Raw genomic sequence first — 18,520 nt, 5'->3', positions numbered from 1 at the left:
GGTTTATGCATCAGAATTCATCTTCGTTGTGTGCAAATGAGAAGGCTGGATTCTATACAGTCAACGCTGAGAATGGGTTCATCACCAGCTGGTGTGCTGAAGCTTGGGCCAGATGTACCTTGACTTAGAGAAGAAATCAAGGATTTTTCTCGTTGGTTTGTGCATCAGAATTCTTCTTCGTTGTGTGCAAATGAGATTGCTGGATTGTATGTTTGGGATATTGCTGGTGTCAACTTATGTAAATAGAGTTTCTATTTATAGGCAGCCTCAGGGAAGGACTCCAGTGGTGGTACTTTTAGTGTCTAAGAGGCTAGTAGGGGGTCTGCAGACCCCTAAACCAGGGCTGTCCAACCCCCAGGTCATAGTACCAGTCCATGGCCTGTTAGGACACCGGCCGCACAGCAGAAGGTGAGTGGCAAGTGAACAAGCAAAGCTTCATCTGTATTTACAGCCACTCCCCATTGTTCACATGACTGCCTGAGCTCTGCCTCCTGTCAGATCAGCAGCAGCATTAGATTCTTATAGGAGCACAAACCCTACTGTGAACTGTGCATGTGAGGGACTTAGGTTGTGCACTCCTTATGAAAAGCTAAAGCCTGATGATCTGTGCATGGGAAGGATCTAGGTTGTGTGCTCCTTATGGAATCTAATTCCTGATGATCTGTCACTGTCTCCCATCACCCCCAGATGGGACTGTCTAGTCACAGGAAAACAAGCTCAGGGCTCCCACTGATTCTATATGATGGCGACTTGTAGAATTATTTCATTATATAGTACAATGTAATAATAATACAAATAAAGTGTACAATAAATGTCATGCCCCGGAATCATCCCAAAACCATCCCCACATTCCACCTCCACCTTCTGTCTTCAGAAAATTGTCTTTCACAAAAGTGGTCCCTGGTGCCAAAAAGGTTGGAGACTGCTGCCCTAAACTATTTCCCCAGAACCTTCCCTCCAAAACTCCTGCTAGTCAACCACGTGCCTCAAGTCTCATGGAAAACAGCCCCAGCTGAGCTCAGCCAGGGTGACTTCCAAGGCAAGAAGGAGCTACACTTCGTGCTTTTCTTTTTTTATTCTTAGAGCAATCAAGGTTTTGCAAACATTAAATACTTCAGACATAGAATATCTTTTTCATTTGCTAGTGGGTTGAAAATAGAACCTGACTGCCTCTGTCTGGCTGCTGTGGGAAGCTCAGAGGCAACGCGATGATTTATCAAGCACAAGAATAAATCAATAATAGACCTCCTGCAGAGCCGGTATTTATGGTTTATTCACTTCAAAATTGTATTTATCTAGCTTCCCATCCCCATGTCTGAAAATTGATAGATTTTTAATAATGCAGAGGATTTATAGATTTATCCTTGTCAGCCATCTTCCCATAACTCTAATGGATGAATTTCTTTCTGAGATAATGAATTACTAAGCATTATTTTTCCTACCACCAAAGAAATACGTCCACGATACAGGGTGACCCTGAAAAATAACAATGATTCTTCCCTGGCCAGAGACCTAAAGACTCTGTTTTTTGGTACAGTTCTTCATTCACCCATTCATTCATTCATTCATTCATTCATTCAAATTCATTCATTCACTTGAATGAATTCAAATGAGTGAATGAATGAATGAAAGAATTCAAATGAATGAATGAATTCAGAGGAATGAATGAATGCAAATGAATTCAAAGGAATGAACAAATGAATTCAAATGAATTAATTCTAAGGAATGAATGAATTCTAATGAATGAACAAATGAATTCAAAGGAACGAATGAATTCAAAGGACTAAATGAATTGAAAGGAATGTATGAATTCAAAGGAATGAATTCAAAGGAATGAATGAATGAATTCAAATGAGTGAATCTGAATGAATTCAAGGGAATGAATAAATTCAAATGAAGGAATGAATTCAAATGAATGAACAAATGAAGTCAAAGGAACGAATGAATTCAAAGGAATGAATAAATTCAGAGGAATGAATGAATGAATTCAAAGGAATGAGTGAATTCAAAGGAATGAGTGAATTCAAAGGAATGAGTGAATTCAAAGGAATGAGTGAATTCAAAGGAATGAGTGAATTCAAAGGAATGAACGAATTCAAAGGAATGAATGAATGAATTCAAATGAGTGAATTTAAATGAATAAATTCAAGTGAATGAATGAATTCAAAGGAACAAGTGAATTCAAAAGAAGGAATGAATTCAAATGATGCAAATGAATGAATGGAATCAAATGAATGAATGAATTCTAATGAGTTCATTCAAATGAGCAAATGGGCACAGGGCACCTACAAGACCCATGAGAGTTAAGGAAGATTCATTCGGGGAAGCCCAGGTGTGCAGTTCTGCATCAACAGAAGACTGAGGTGCAGTGGAGCCGGTCCTTACTGAGGACCCACTTTTTGGTGGACGGACACCTGAGCAGCCATCTCCTGTCTTTGTGGGCGCCTGGCATTTTCTATGTGACTCGGGCTCCACAGTCATCTGGTCTCCCTCCCGGGAAGACGGAAAGTGTTGCATCGCGGCGCATGCATTCGTCAGCGGATCCTTGAGTCTGCACAGGTGTAGACCATTTATTCTGCGTGCCTTCTGTTTGCTTCTCTTCCAGAGCTGCTCTCCTGTGGATAGAGTAGCTTTCTGTTCCGTAGTGGTTTCCTCTGCCTCTCCCGATGGCGCCTTCTCTGAACAGGAGGCATTTGGATGTTCTTTTAGTGTTGGTGTTGGCAGCAGCATGGGATGTGGTCTGTTGTGACTCTGCGGCAGGCTGTTCCCTGCCAGAGAAGGCTAGATGTTCAGGGCGTCCGTCCCATAGCCTCCCTGGACTGGCTCCATCCTTCCCACCGCCCTCCCGAGATTCTAGGAAGTGGGTTGAGAAGCAGTGGTTTTTCAGTTACTCAAATGCTTTTCTCCTCTCTCTCTCTCTTTCTGTAACTCTCTGTCTCTCTCTCCTCCTTCTCCCCGTCTCTCTGTCATTCTCTCTTTCCACCTCTTCACTGTCTCACTTTTCCTCTCTTTTGCTTTTTCTCTCTGTCTCTCTCTCTCCTCAGTCTACCCCATCCCCGCTTCTACTATTTTGCTCTCGACCTCCCTTCTCCCTCCTCCCTCCCTCTCTCCCCCTCTCTCTCCCCTTCTCCCTTCTCTCTCTCCCTTTCTCCCTCTCTCTCCCTCTCTCTCTTTCTCTCTTCTCTCTTTCTTCTCTCTCTCCCCCTCCCTCCCTCGCTTTCTCCCCTCTTCTCTCTCTCCCATTCTCCCTCTCCCTCCCTCCCTCTCTCCTTCCTTCCCTCTCTCCCTCTTTCTCCCCTCTTCTCTCTCTCCTTTTCTCCCATTCTCTCTCTCCCTCTCTCCCTCCCTTTCCCTTCTTCTCTCCCTCCCCTCTTTCTTCTCTCTCCCCTCTTTCTTCTCTCTCTCCCTTTCTGTTTCCCTCTCGCACACCCTCCCTCTTCTCCCTATCTCCTTTCTCTTCCTGTCTCTCCCCTTGTCTCTCTATCTCCTTTGTCTTCCTCTGTGTCCCACTTCTCTCTCTTTCCTCCTTCCCCCATCTCTCCTCCTCTCTCCTTTGCCTTCCTTCTCTCCCCCTTTCTCTCTTTCTCTCTGTCTCTTTCTCTGTCTCTCCCCTTATTTCCTCCCTCTCCTTCTCTCTTCCTTTCTCGTTTGCCCTCCCTCTCTCTCCCTGTTCCCTCTCCATCTCTCTCTCTCTTTCCCCCATTTCCTCCTCTTCCTTCTCTCTCCCTCTCGTTTGCCCTCCCTCTCTCTCCCCGTTCCCTCTCCATCTCTCTTTCTCTCTCTTTCCCCCATTTCCTCCTCTTCCTTCTCTCTCCCTCTCGTTTGCCCTCCCTCTCTCTCCCCGTTCCCTCTCCATCTCTCTTTCTCTCTCTTTCCCCCATTTCCTCCTCCTCCTTCTCTCTCCCTCTCGTTTGCCCTCCCTCTCTCTCCCCGTTCCCTCTCCATCTCTCTTTCTCTCTCTTTCCCCCATTTCCTCCTCCTCCTTCTCTCTCCCTCTCTCGTTTGCCCTCCCTCTCTCTCCCCGTTCCCTCTCCATCTCTCTCTCTCTTTCCCCCATTTCCTCCTCTTCCTTCTCTCTCCCTCTCGTTTGCCCTCCCTCTCTCTCCCCGTTCCCTCTCCATCTCTCTTTCTCTCTCTTTCCCCTATTTCCTCCCTCTCCTCCTTCTCTCTCCCTCTCTCGTTTGCCCTCCCTCTCTCTCCCCGTTCCCTCTCCATCTCTCTTTCTCTCTCTTTCCCCCATTTCCTCCTCCTCCTTCTCTCTCCCTCTCGTTTGCCCTCCCTCTCTCTCCCCGTTCCCTCTCCATCTCTCTTTCTCTCTCTTTCCCCCATTTCCTCCTCCTCCTTCTCTCTCCCTCTCGTTTGCCCTCCCTCTCTCTCCCCGTTCCCTCTCCATCTCTCTTTCTCTCTCTTTCCCCCATTTCCTCCTCCTCCTTCTCTCTCCCTCTCGTTTGCCCTCCCTCTCTCTCCCCGTTCCCTCTCCATCTCTCTCTCTCTTTCCCCCATTTCCTCCTCTTCCTTCTCTCTCCCTCTCGTTTGCCCTCCCTCTCTCTCCCCGTTCCCTCTCCATCTCTCTCTCTCTTTCCCCCATTTCCTCCTCTTCCTTCTCTCTCCCTCTCGTTTGCCCTCCCTCTCTCTCCCTGTTCCCTCTCCATCTCTCTTTCTCTCTCTTTCCCCCATTTCCTCCTCTTCCTTCTCTCTCCCTCTCTCGTTTGCCCTCCCTCTCTCTCCCCGTTCCCTCTCCATCTCTCTCTCTCTTTCCCCCATTTCCTCCTCTTCCTTCTCTCTCCCTCTCGTTTGCCCTCCCTCTCTCTCCCCGTTCCCTCTCCATCTCTCTCTCTCTTTCCCCCATTTCCTCCTCTTCCTTCTCTCTCCCTCTCGTTTGCCCTCCCTCTCTCTCCCTGTTCCCTCTCCATCTCTCTTTCTCTCTCTTTCCCCCATTTCCTCCTCTTCCTTCTCTCTCCCTCTCTCGTTTGCCCTCCCTCTCTCTCCCCGTTCCCTCTCCATCTCTCTCTCTCTTTCCCCCATTTCCTCCTCTTCCTTCTCTCTCCCTCTCGTTTGCCCTCCCTCTCTCTCCCCGTTCCCTCTCCATCTCTCTCTCTCTTTCCCCCATTTCCTCCTCTTCCTTCTCTCTCCCTCTCGTTTGCCCTCCCTCTCTCTCCCCGTTCCCTCTCCATCTCTCTTTCTCTCTCTTTCCCCCATTTCCTCCTCCTCCTTCTCTCTCCCTCTCGTTTGCCCTCCCTCTCTCTCCCTGTTCCCTCTCCATCTCTCTTTCTCTCTCTTTCCCCCATTTCCTCCTCCTCCTTCTCTCTCCCTCTCGTTTGCCCTCCCTCTCTCTCCCTGTTCCCTCTCCATCTCTCTTTCTCTCTCTTTCCCCCATTTCCTCCTCCTCCTTCTCTCTCCCTCTCGTTTGCCCTCCCTCTCTCTCCCCGTTCCCTCTCCATCTCTCTTTCTCTCTCTTTCCCCCATTTCCTCCTCCTCCTTCTCTCTCCCTCTCGTTTGCCCTCCCTCTCTCTCCCTGTTCCCTCTCCATCTCTCTTTCTCTCTCTTTCCCCCATTTCCTCCTCCTCCTTCTCTCTCCCTCTCGTTTGCCCTCCCTCTCTCTCCCTGTTCCCTCTCCATCTCTCTTTCTCTCTCTTTCCCCCATTTCCTCCTCCTCCTTCTCTCTCCCTCTCGTTTGCCCTCCCTCTCTCTCCCTGTTCCCTCTCCATCTCTCTTTCTCTCTCTTTCCCCCATTTCCTCCTCTTCCTTCTCTCTCCCTCTCTCGTTTGCCCTCCCTCTCTCTCCCCGTTCCCTCTCCATCTCTCTTTCTCTCTCTTTCCCCCATTTCCTCCTCCTCCTTCTCTCTCCCTCTCGTTTGCCCTCCCTCTCTCTCCCCGTTCCCTCTCCATCTCTCTTTCTCTCTCTTTCCCCCATTTCCTCCTCCTCCTTCTCTCTCCCTCTCGTTTGCCCTCCCTCTCTCTCCCCGTTCCCTCTCCATCTCTCTTTCTCTCTCTTTCCCCCATTTCCTCCTCCTCCTTCTCTCTCCCTCTCGTTTGCCCTCCCTCTCTCTCCCCGTTCCCTCTCCATCTCTCTTTCTCTCTCTTTCCCCCATTTCCTCCTCCTCCTTCTCTCTCCCTCTCTCGTTTGCCCTCCCTCTCTCTCCCCGTTCCCTCTCCATCTCTCTCTCTCTTTCCCCCATTTCCTCCTCTTCCTTCTCTCTCCCTCTCGTTTGCCCTCCCTCTCTCTCCCCGTTCCCTCTCCATCTCTCTTTCTCTCTCCCCCATTTCCTCCTCTTCCTTCTCTCTCCCTCTCGTTTGCCCTCCCTCTCTCTCCCCGTTCCCTCTCCATCTCTCTCTCTCTTTCCCCCATTTCCTCCTCTTCCTTCTCTCTCCCTCTCGTTTGCCCTCCCTCTCTCTCCCTGTTCCCTCTCCATCTCTCTTTCTCTCTCTTTCCCCCATTTCCTCCTCTTCCTTCTCTCTCCCTCTCTCGTTTGCCCTCCCTCTCTCTCCCCGTTCCCTCTCCATCTCTCTCTCTCTTTCCCCCATTTCCTCCTCTTCCTTCTCTCTCCCTCTCGTTTGCCCTCCCTCTCTCTCCCCGTTCCCTCTCCATCTCTCTCTCTCTTTCCCCCATTTCCTCCTCTTCCTTCTCTCTCCCTCTCGTTTGCCCTCCCTCTCTCTCCCCGTTCCCTCTCCATCTCTCTTTCTCTCTCTTTCCCCCATTTCCTCCTCCTCCTTCTCTCTCCCTCTCGTTTGCCCTCCCTCTCTCTCCCTGTTCCCTCTCCATCTCTCTTTCTCTCTCTTTCCCCCATTTCCTCCTCCTCCTTCTCTCTCCCTCTCGTTTGCCCTCCCTCTCTCTCCCTGTTCCCTCTCCATCTCTCTTTCTCTCTCTTTCCCCCATTTCCTCCTCCTCCTTCTCTCTCCCTCTCGTTTGCCCTCCCTCTCTCTCCCCGTTCCCTCTCCATCTCTCTTTCTCTCTCTTTCCCCCATTTCCTCCTCCTCCTTCTCTCTCCCTCTCGTTTGCCCTCCCTCTCTCTCCCTGTTCCCTCTCCATCTCTCTTTCTCTCTCTTTCCCCCATTTCCTCCTCCTCCTTCTCTCTCCCTCTCGTTTGCCCTCCCTCTCTCTCCCTGTTCCCTCTCCATCTCTCTTTCTCTCTCTTTCCCCCATTTCCTCCTCCTCCTTCTCTCTCCCTCTCGTTTGCCCTCCCTCTCTCTCCCTGTTCCCTCTCCATCTCTCTTTCTCTCTCTTTCCCCCATTTCCTCCTCTTCCTTCTCTCTCCCTCTCTCGTTTGCCCTCCCTCTCTCTCCCCGTTCCCTCTCCATCTCTCTTTCTCTCTCTTTCCCCCATTTCCTCCTCCTCCTTCTCTCTCCCTCTCGTTTGCCCTCCCTCTCTCTCCCCGTTCCCTCTCCATCTCTCTTTCTCTCTCTTTCCCCCATTTCCTCCTCCTCCTTCTCTCTCCCTCTCGTTTGCCCTCCCTCTCTCTCCCCGTTCCCTCTCCATCTCTCTTTCTCTCTCTTTCCCCCATTTCCTCCTCCTCCTTCTCTCTCCCTCTCGTTTGCCCTCCCTCTCTCTCCCCGTTCCCTCTCCATCTCTCTTTCTCTCTCTTTCCCCCATTTCCTCCTCCTCCTTCTCTCTCCCTCTCTCGTTTGCCCTCCCTCTCTCTCCCCGTTCCCTCTCCATCTCTCTCTCTCTTTCCCCCATTTCCTCCTCTTCCTTCTCTCTCCCTCTCGTTTGCCCTCCCTCTCTCTCCCCGTTCCCTCTCCATCTCTCTTTCTCTCTCTTTCCCCCATTTCCTCCTCCTCCTTCTCTCTCCCTCTCGTTTGCCCTCCCTCTCTCTCCCCGTTCCCTCTCCATCTCTCTTTCTCTCTCTTTCCCCCATTTCCTCCTCCTCCTTCTCTCTCCCTCTCTCGTTTGCCCTCCCTCTCTCTCCCCGTTCCCTCTCCATCTCTCTCTCTCTTTCCCCCATTTCCTCCTCTTCCTTCTCTCTCCCTCTCGTTTGCCCTCCCTCTCTCTCCCCGTTCCCTCTCCATCTCTCTTTCTCTCTCTTTCCCCCATTTCCTCCTCCTCCTTCTCTCTCCCTCTCGTTTGCCCTCCCTCTCTCTCCCTGTTCCCTCTCCATCTCTCTTTCTCTCTCTTTCCCCCATTTCCTCCTCCTCCTTCTCTCTCCCTCTCGTTTGCCCTCCCTCTCTCTCCCCGTTCCCTCTCCATCTCTCTTTCTCTCTCTTTCCCCCATTTCCTCCTCCTCCTTCTCTCTCCCTCTCGTTTGCCCTCCCTCTCTCTCCCTGTTCCCTCTCCATCTCTCTTTCTCTCTCTTTCCCCCATTTCCTCCTCCTCCTTCTCTCTCCCTCTCGTTTGCCCTCCCTCTCTCTCCCTGTTCCCTCTCCATCTCTCTTTCTCTCTCTTTCCCCCATTTCCTCCTCCTCCTTCTCTCTCCCTCTCGTTTGCCCTCCCTCTCTCTCCCTGTTCCCTCTCCATCTCTCTTTCTCTCTCTTTCCCCCATTTCCTCCTCTTCCTTCTCTCTCCCTCTCTCGTTTGCCCTCCCTCTCTCTCCCTGTTCCCTCTCCATCTCTCTTTCTCTCTCTTTCCCCTATTTCCTCCCCTCCTTCTCTCTCCCTCTCGTTTGCCCTCCCTCTCTCTCCCTGTTCCCTCTCCATCTCTCTTTCTCTTTCTTTCCCCCATTTCCTCCTCTTCCTTCTCTCTCCCTCTCTCGTTTGCCCTCCCTCTCTCTCCCTGTTCCCTCTCCATCTCTCTTTCTCTCTTTCCCCCATTTCCTCCTCTTCCTTCTCTCTCCCTCTCTCGTTTGCCCTCCCTCTCTCTCCCTGTTCCCTCTCCATCTCTCTTTCTCTCTTTCCCCTATTTCCTCCTCTTCCTTCTCTCTCCCTCTCTCGTTTGCCCTCCCTCTCTCTCCCTGTTCCCTCTCCATCTCTCTTTCTCTCTTTCCCCCTATTTCCTCCCTCTCCTCCTCTCTCCCTCTCGTTTGCCCTCCCTCTCTCTCCCTGTTCCCTCTCCATCTCTCTTTCTCTCTCTTCCCCCATTTCCTCCTCTTCCTTCTCTCTCCCTCTCTCGTTTGCCCTCCCTCTCTCTCCCTGTTCCCTCTCCATCTCTCTTTCTCTCTTTCCCCTATTTCCTCCCCTCCTTCTCTCTCCCTCTCGTTTGCCCTCCCTCTCTCTCCCTGTTCCCTCTCCATCTCTCTTTGTCTCTCTTTCTCCCTATTTCCTCCCTCTCCTTCTCTCTTCCTTCTTTGCCCTCCCTCTCTCTCTCCTCTCTCTCTCTCTGATTGCCCTTTCATCCCCATCACTCTCCTTTCTCTGGAGTTCTCCGCTTGGAGAGCGGAGAACTCTCCCTTCTCCTCCCGTTCAGGATACACCTCACCTGTGTTCACTGCTTCAGGCACAATATGTGATTGTGACCCTGAGCGTTCACTCCCCAGTAAAATGCCATTAGGTGCACAGACCAATGAACGATAATTGTATTGCGTATTTTCCACCTTTGAATTGGCAGATCAATGGACGATAATTTTACTGTTTATTTTCCACCTTTGAATTGGCAGATCGATGGACGATAGTTTTATTCTGTATTTTCCACCTTTCGATTCGCAGATCAATGAACGATAGTTCTATTGTGTATTCTCCACCTTTGAATTGGCGAAGAGACAGATTCCGTGAATGCTCCTAACGTGGACGGCACCCGATACACTGACGTGGCCACAGGGTTTTCTTATTCCTTACAAAATTCGCAATGAAACATCAGTATATTTGCTGATGATTAAAACTTGTGCAACAAAATCTCAGAAGTCACCACAAAAGAATGTATCCATGTAGCCCAAAACCACTGGTTTCCCAAAAATTATTGAAATTTTAAGAAACAGGCCGGGCGCGATGGCCCACGCCTGTAATCCCAGCACTTTGGGAGGCCGACGTGGATGGATCACGAGGTCAGGAGTTCGAGACCATCCTGGCCAACACGGTGAAATCCCGTCTCTACTAAAAATACAGAAATTAGCTGGGCATAGTAGCATACACCTGTAATCCCAGCTACTCAGGAGCCTGAGGCAGGAGAATTTCTGGAACCCGGGAGGCAGAGGCTGCAGTGGGCCGAGATTGTGCCACTGCACTCCAGCCTAGCGACAGAGTGAGACTCCATCTCAAAAATAAAATTAAATTAAAATTTTTAAAAAAAGGCAAATTATTATTTTATTTTATTTATTTATTTCCTTTTTTGAGACAGAGCCTTGCTCTGTCGCCCAGGCTGGAGTGCAGTGGCACAACCTCTTCTCACTGCAATCTCCGCCTCCCAGAAAAAAACAGGCAAATTAAATCTATGGTAATGGAAATTGGAATTGTAGTTACCTTAGAAGAATGTGATAATTAATTTTGGATCAAAAAAGGGCTTAGGGGTGCAGATGTGGGAGGCGGTTACCTGAGAGGGGAGAGTGCTCGCTTTGGATGATTCCATTGAGATTTCCCTCATGATCTCTGCACCTTTTTTTTTTTTGTTTTGAAACATAGTCTCGCTGTTGTCGGCCGGGGCTGGAGTGCAGTGCACGATATCAGCTCACTGCAACCTCTGCCTCCTGAGTTCCAGAAATTCTCCTGCCTCAGCCTCCCAAGCAGCTGAAATTACAGGTGCCCGCCACCACACTCAGCTAATTTTTTTTTTTTTTTTGTATTTTTAGTAGAGACGGGGTTTCACCAAGTTGGCCAGGCTGGTCTCAAACTCCTGACCTCAGGTCATCCGCCTGCCTCGGCCTCCCAGAGTGCTGGGATTACAGGTGTGAGTCACCGTGCCCAGCCCTGTGCACCTTTTTTATACTTTCCTTTGATTTAAAAGAAAATAATAACTTGACAAAAATAAATAAATAGAATTTTACTGATGCCGAAAAAAACATGATTATGGAAAATTTAAAACACATACAAAAGCCTACAGGCATTTGAATTTGCCGTCGATTGTCTAACTAGTACTCAATTCTGCATTTCGGACTTCCGTCAATCCCTCCTCTGGGGTACCATCATCTCTTCCTAGGCCATGATAATGGCCTCCTAACAGGCATCTCAGGCACCCATCCAATCTCTCTACCTGGCACCAATCTGGTCTTTCAATGCTCTGCTTACATAGGAAGAGGAAAATTAATACCTAAAGCCACTGGCAAAGAACTCAACAACAAAACAATTTCTCCTTCAGAATATGTCAGGCTTTCGTTCCGTAAATATCAGCGTTTCAGGTGGGTTTGCTGCCTAGAAACGTCTCCGTGACACTGTGGTTTAAAATACGGGTGCGTGGCCGGGCGCGGTGGCTCACACCTGGGATCCCAGCACTTTGGGAGGCTGAGGCGGGCAGATCACTTGGGGTCAGGAGTTCGAGACCAGACTGGTCAACATGACAAAACCCCATCTCTACTAAAAATACAAAAAAAAAAAAAAAAAGTTTAGCCGGGTGTTGTGGTGCACACCTGTAATCCCAGCTACTTGGGAGGCTGAGGCAGAAGAATCACTTCAACCCGGGAGGCGGAGGTTGCAGTGAGCCGAGTTCAACCCACTGCAATCCAGCCTGGGCAACAGAGTGAGACTCCATCTCAAAAAAAATGAAATAAAAAATAAAATACGGACACACTGCACTCCAGCTTGGTTGACAGAGCGAGACTCTGTCTCCAAAAAAATAATAATATTAGTAGGGCTGGGTGCAGTGGCTCACACCTGTAGTCCCAGCACTTTGGGAGGCCAAGGCGGGAGGATCAGTTGAGATTAGGAGTTCAAGAGCAGCCTGGCCAACATGGTGAAACCCCGTCTCTACTAAAAATACAAAAAATAGCTGGCCATCGGGGCAGGTGCCTGTAATCCCATGTACTCGGGAGGCTGAGGCAGGAGAATCGCTTGAACCCAGGAGGCAGAGGTTGCAGTGAGCCGACATCACAACACTGCACTCCAGTCTGGGTGACACAGCAAGAGTTTACCTCAAAGTAATAATAATAATAATAAAATAGGAATAAACGTAATTACTCGCAGTAGCTCACTAACGATGAATTATCAGCATCCAGGGCCCCTGCGCGTGGCTGCTGCATTCACCACGGCGCAGGAATTCTCACGCAGCTTCCCCGCCAGGCGAGTCCCTAGCACGGCTCGGATTCATCTGGAGCACAGGTCACCACCTGCCTGCACAGAAGCACTGTCCCCTCTGCTCTTGCAAAAGATACCTTCCCCAACGATGCTGTTGTCACCAAGAATTTGCTCAGAGCTGCAAGCCATTATCCTAAGAGAACCAGCACAGAAACAGAAAACCAAATACTGCATGTTCTGACTTACACCTGGAAGGTACACAGCGGGTACTCATGGACACAAAGATGGGAAGAGCAGAAACTCTTGACTGCTAGAAGGTAGGGGGAGGGAGGCAGGGGATGAAAAACCACCTGTTGGGTACAGTGGCCATTTCCTGGGTGACAGGTTCACTCACAGCCCCACCCTCAGTCTCTAATGTGTATTCCTCTATTCCGTATGCCCCTTCAATGCCAGAAGCATACCCAGAGCTTAGTGCCCACTTACAAGTGAGAACGTGTATTTGCTTTTCTGTTCTTGAGTGACTCCACGTAGAATAATAACCTCCAGTTCTATCCAAGTTACTGCCAATGACACGATTCCACTCTTTTTAATGGCTTAGTAGTATTCCATTCCATTTTCTTTATCCAGTACTCCACGGAGGGGTACTTAGGTTGATTCCGTATGTTTGCAATTGTGAGTTGTGCTGCAAGAAACAGACAGGTGCAGGTATTTTGTTTTGTATTGTTTTGTTTGATTATTTTATTTTATTGATTTATTTATTTTTGAGATGGAGTCTTGCTCTGTCACCCAGGCTGGAGTGCAGTGGTGCGATCTCGGCTCACTGCAACCTCCACCTCCTGGGTTCAAGCAATTCTGGGGTTTCTCCATGTTGCCCAGGCTGCTCTCGAACTCCTGACCTCAGGTGATCTGCCCGCCTTGGTCTCCCAAAGTGCTGGGATGACAGGCGTGAGCCACCATGCCTGGCCTGCAGGTGTCTTTTTGATATAAGGACTTCTTTTCCTTTGGGTAGATACCCAGGAGTGGGATTGCTGGATCGAACAAATGATCTGCTTTTAGTTCTTTGAGAGGAACATCCGTGCTGTTTTCTATACAGCTTGTATGAATTCACTTTCTTTCGGGGCACAGGAATGTAGGCAGTTCTGCCTGGGGGGTCTCCTGTGGGGCTGCAGCTGGGGCTGACTTTATCTGAAGGCTTGACCAGGTTGGATGTCCAGGATAGCTTTCTCTGGTGTCAAGAAGCTGGTACAGCCTGTCACCTGGGCTTAGCTGGGAGGGCCAACAAGAACAGGTACCTGGGGCCTCTCCAGCATGTCAGGCTGAAGGTGCTCAGTCTTTTTAAACCAAAGCTGGCTCCTCCCAGACTCAGCATTCCCAAGAACCAAGCAGGGGCCACGTGACCTTATTGACCCAACTTTGGAAGTCACACAGTGTTTACACCACTGTGGCATTCTACAAAAGAATTAACGAGAAAGTTAATGAGCATGGCCGAGATTCAAGGGAAGGGGCGTAGACTCTAGCTCCCAAGGAGACGAGTGTCAAAAGAATTTGCAGGCCTGCTTTAGAGCCCCCTGAAGCTGCCTTTCAAAACCATGCATGCATAAGCCAGGTGTTCATGATAAGCTCGTCTCTCCTAAGCTGGGAATTTATGACACTTCAGGCACGGATTGAGCTGTGTGTCTCCAGATTCTTCACATCAAATAAAATATGAGGAAAATGGCATCGTGAAAAAGATGTTTATAGTTCATCAAAATGCAAAGCTTCCCGTCCACCCACAGCAACCTATTCTGGTGTTTTTGTTTTTTTGTTGTTGGTTTTTTTTTGTTTTTGAGACAAAAATCAACTTAGGTTGATTCCGTATGTTTGCAGTTGTGAGTTGTGCTGCAAGAAACAGACAGGTGCAGGTATGTTTTTTTGTTTCGTTTTGTCTCACTCTTTCGCCCAGGCTGGAGTGCAGTGGTGTGATCTCGGCTCACTGCAACCTCTGCCTCCCAGGTTCAAGCGATTCTCCTGCCTCAGCTTCCCGAGTAGCTGGGATTACAGGCATGCACCACCACGCCCGGCTAATTTTGTATTTTTAGTAGAGACAAGGTTTCTCCATGTTGGCCAAGCTGGTCTCGAACTCCTGACCTGAACTGATCTGCCCGCTTCGCCCTCTGAAAGTGCTGGGAGGATTACAGGCATGACCCACCGGGCCGGGCTTTTTTTCTGGATAACTCCTGAGGTGAATTCTGACATACTTCTCAGAAGTGTTTTGTTAGATGGGCTTTGAGGACTGTAGGAGTGTTGAATGTTTAATACACATGTGTCTTGTGACTGATTGATACTGGACCCTGATTGATATTGGATCCCTCCCAGTTGGTTTATACTCCTGATGTTTTACAGGCATAAGCTCAGGGAATAAATTCTCTGTATCCTGGAAGTTTTTTTGAAAGCTAGATATTCACGTAGGAGGGGGAAGCACTGAGTCTGGCTGGAAAGTGTGTGCAGGTGAGAAGCAAGGACTGCACCTGAACAGTCTGCTCATTTCTCCCTGAGGATTTCAGCAGGCCACAGGCCTGGAATGGCATGGTGGTGCCTCTCCCCTGCCACCATTCTCTGTGAGAGTGTGTCCAGAATTTATTCCTTCTTGTGGGTTCTTGGTCTCGCTGACTTCAAGAATGAAGCCGCAGACCCTCACGGTGAGTGTTAGGGCTTTTAAAGATGGTGCGTCCCGAGTTTGTTCCTTCAGATGTTCAGATGTGCCTGGAGTTTTTTCCTTCTGGTGGGTTCGCAGACTCGCTGACTTCAGGAGTGAAGCTGCGGACCTTGGCAGTGAGTCTTACAGCTCATACAGGTAGTGTAGACCCAAAGAGTGAGCAGCAGCAAGATTTATGGTGAAGAGTGAAACAACAAAGTTTCCACAACGTGGAAGGGGACACAAGCTGGCTCAGGTGGCCAGCTTTTATTCCCTTATTTGGCCCCGCCCACATCCTGCTGACTGGTCCATTTTACAGAGTGCTGATTGGTCCATTTTACAGAGTGCTGATTGGTCCATTTTACAGAGTGCTGATTGGTCCATTTTATAGAGCATTGATTGGTCCATTTTACAGAGCACTGATTGGTCCATTTTACAGACTGCTGAATGGTCCATTTTAGAGTGCTGATTGGTGCCTTTACAATTCTTTAGCTAGACAAAAGGTCTCCGGGTCTCCACTCGACCCAGGAAGTCCAGGTGGCTTCACGTCTCAAAAGCAGCAGATCTCCATCCACGTTTATTTTTTATTTCCCCCTTGCTGTACCCAAAGCACTACAACCGCACTGTGGAGGCTACAGCCAGAATAAGACGTTGGTTTTTCCTCAAGGACCTCACAATTGTCAAGCCTCCACTGGGGCCAGGGACGTGTAGAGCCGCGGGACCCACTGCTGAGTCTTCTGTGGGCCCTCCGCGCAATGGGGCATCCAGTGCGGCCTGTGCATCCACAGTTTTGAAAGGCGGGTTGGAGAGGCTGTAAAACAGGCCTGCAAATTCTTTTCACACTTGTCTCTTCGGGAGCTGGAGTCCCTGCTCCGTCTCTTGAATCTCGGCTGTCCTCATTAACTGTCTCGTAATTCCTAGAATGGGGCAGTGGTGACAACTCTGTAGGAGTTCCAAAGTTGGGTCGATAAGGCCACGTGGCTCCTGCTTGGTTCTTTGGGAATGCTGAGCCGGCGAGGAGCCAGCTTTGGTTTTGAGTGTTCATAAAGTACAACTGGAAAGACTGTGTACACAAACACAGGCAGGTACACAAATGCACACGCATCAAAAATTTATAGGGAAATGGGTCCATGTACCGAGGCACAAATAACATACAGATATTACAGTACACACAGAAGCAAGCACATATACAAATGCATGTACCTCAAAAAATGTATACACCTACGGATACACCTCTACATATACAAACACATAGAGAAATGCTAGACCTACATATATGTATAGATAGCTCCATATAAGATACACACAAACACAAGCACGTGTACAAATGCATATGCATAGAAAAAGATGTACGCTATGCAGATGTACATATACATACACAAATACATACAGAAACGCTAGACCTATAGATATATACATATCTCCATATAAAATACACACACGGCCGGGTGCAGTGTCTCACGCCTGTAATCCCAGCACTTAGGGAGGCCGAGGTGGGCGGATCCCCTGAGGTCAGGAGTTTGAGAGCAGCCTGGCCAACATGGCAAAACCCCGTCTCTACTGAAAATACAGAAAAATTTAGCCACGTGTGGTGGTGGGTGCCTGTAATCCCAGCTACTCGGGAGGCTAAGGCAGGAAAATTGCTTGAACCTGGGAGGCGGAGGTTGCAGTGAGGCGAGACTGCCTCATTGCACTCCAGCCTGGACGACAAGAGCGAAACTCCTCCTCAAAAAATAAATAAATACATACATATAAAATACACACACACATACAAGCACATAAACAAATGCATGTACCTAGGAAAATGTATTCATGTACAGATACACGTATACATATACAAATAAGTAGAGAAATGCTAGGCCTATATATGTGTAGATATCTCCATATAAAATACACACAAATACAAGCACATATACAAATACATGTACATATAAAAAATGTGTGCACTTGCAGATGCATGTATACATGTACAAATACACAGAGAAATGCTAGACCTCTATATATTTGTGTGTAGATATAAAATACATACACACTAATACAAGCATATATACAAATGCATATGCATAGGAAAATATGTACACATGCAGATATACATATACAAATATGTAGACAAATGCTAGACCTACATATATGTATAGATAGCTCCATATAAAATACACACAAACACATATACAAATGCATATGCATAGAAAGATATGTACACATGCAGATGCAAACACATATATATACAAATACAGAAATAGATCTACAAATATCAATATAGCTCCATATTGAAATACATCTTTGAACACAAACGTGTCCATATGCAAATGGATAGGTGTGTGTGTGTATTAATCATACACCTCAAATGCATTTGCAAATGCAAACGTGCACAAATGCAAAAGCTATGGGATTCCACAGATGAATCAAAATGCATATTCATGCGTGCAATACACGTAGATGTTCCAATGTACAAATAATGACAAATGCTGTGTGTTTGTAGGTGTATGAACACATGCAAATACTTGCGATTGTACAATTCCAAATAGAAACATATAATATATACATACACTGTATGCAGATACACATGCAAAGATGTAAATGTGTATGGACATGTATATACATGTGAATAAATGTGTACACATGCAAACTCATGCACATGTGCATACAACACATATGTAAAAGAAAATATGCACAAATTTATAGGCATTTGAAAATGAATCTGCATGTAAAGACGTGAACACATATGTACATGCTAACATATATCTCTATAGGCATATATCTTTGAATTATGCATACATGCAGTTATATACCCAAGTGTATAGCTATATAAACACATTTACAAATGCGTATGCATATATGTATATGAATAGACGTGCCTGTATTTGCGTTACGTGTAGATAGATACAGAATTCCAGGTACATATATAACATGCCTATGTATACACATCTACATTATCCATGTACATACAAATACATATCTACATTGGCATTAATATCCAAGCAAACTGGTCTGCTCTAAGTACAAGGCAGTATGGTTCGTGCGTGTTTCTAGGACAAGTCACCTTTGAGATCAGGCCTCCACAGCAAGGACTTCAGGGCAGGCGCTCAGCCGGGCTTGGCCTGACAGGGGTGGGCTGTTCTGTGTCTGGTAGATAGAACATGTCAAGCACAGAACCTGCGGTGATGATGATGTCTATAGAATGATGACCGACAGGGCTGCCCTGTGGTCTAGGGGTGAGGACAGGCCATGTTTATACTGAGGTCGGCATTTCTCAAAGGACATCTGAGCAGTTTGTTTGTGGGATACTCAGTGAAGAGGGGGTGCCATAGCAGCTATACTTGTCCAGAATTCTGGGGGGAGACAGGATCTCTGTTGCCCAGGCTGGGGTGCAGTAGCACAATCTCGGCTCACTGCAACCTCCACCTCTTGGGCTCAAACAATCCTCCCGCCTCAACCTCCCCGAGTAGCTGGGACTACAGGCACGCACCACCACACCCACTAATTTTTTGTATTTTTGGTAAAGATGGAGTTTCACTGTGGTGCACAGCCTGGTCTCGAACTCCTGACGTCAAGCAGTCTGCCCTACTCACCTACCCAAAGGCTGGGATTACATGTATGAGCCATCACACCTAGCCGCCCAGAATAATTAATTGTCCAGGGGACTCTGTTTGGTGACTTGGATGATTCTCACTCTCTTGTGTGTGTTGCTGTGTTATCATTGTGGTTATTATTTTTCTTTTCCTTTTTTTTTTTTTTGAGATGGAGTCTCGCTCTGTCACCAGGCTGGAGTGCAGTGGCATGATCTCAGCTCACTGCAACCTCCGCCTCCCAGGTT

General features: G+C 48.1%; 1 protein-coding gene across 1 annotated transcript in view; it reads left to right on the top strand.

The window, feature by feature from the left end:
* DHRSX (dehydrogenase/reductase X-linked) overlaps positions 1-18,520 on the top strand; it is a 281,471-nt gene that overhangs the window by 214,992 nt on the left and 47,959 nt on the right. The window lies entirely within an intron of this gene.

This window comes from Homo sapiens, chromosome X, assembly GCF_000001405.40.
Source record: "Homo sapiens chromosome X, GRCh38.p14 Primary Assembly".
Lineage (NCBI taxonomy): Eukaryota > Metazoa > Chordata > Mammalia > Primates > Hominidae > Homo > Homo sapiens.
This window is presented reverse-complemented; position numbering and strand designations above follow the sequence as displayed.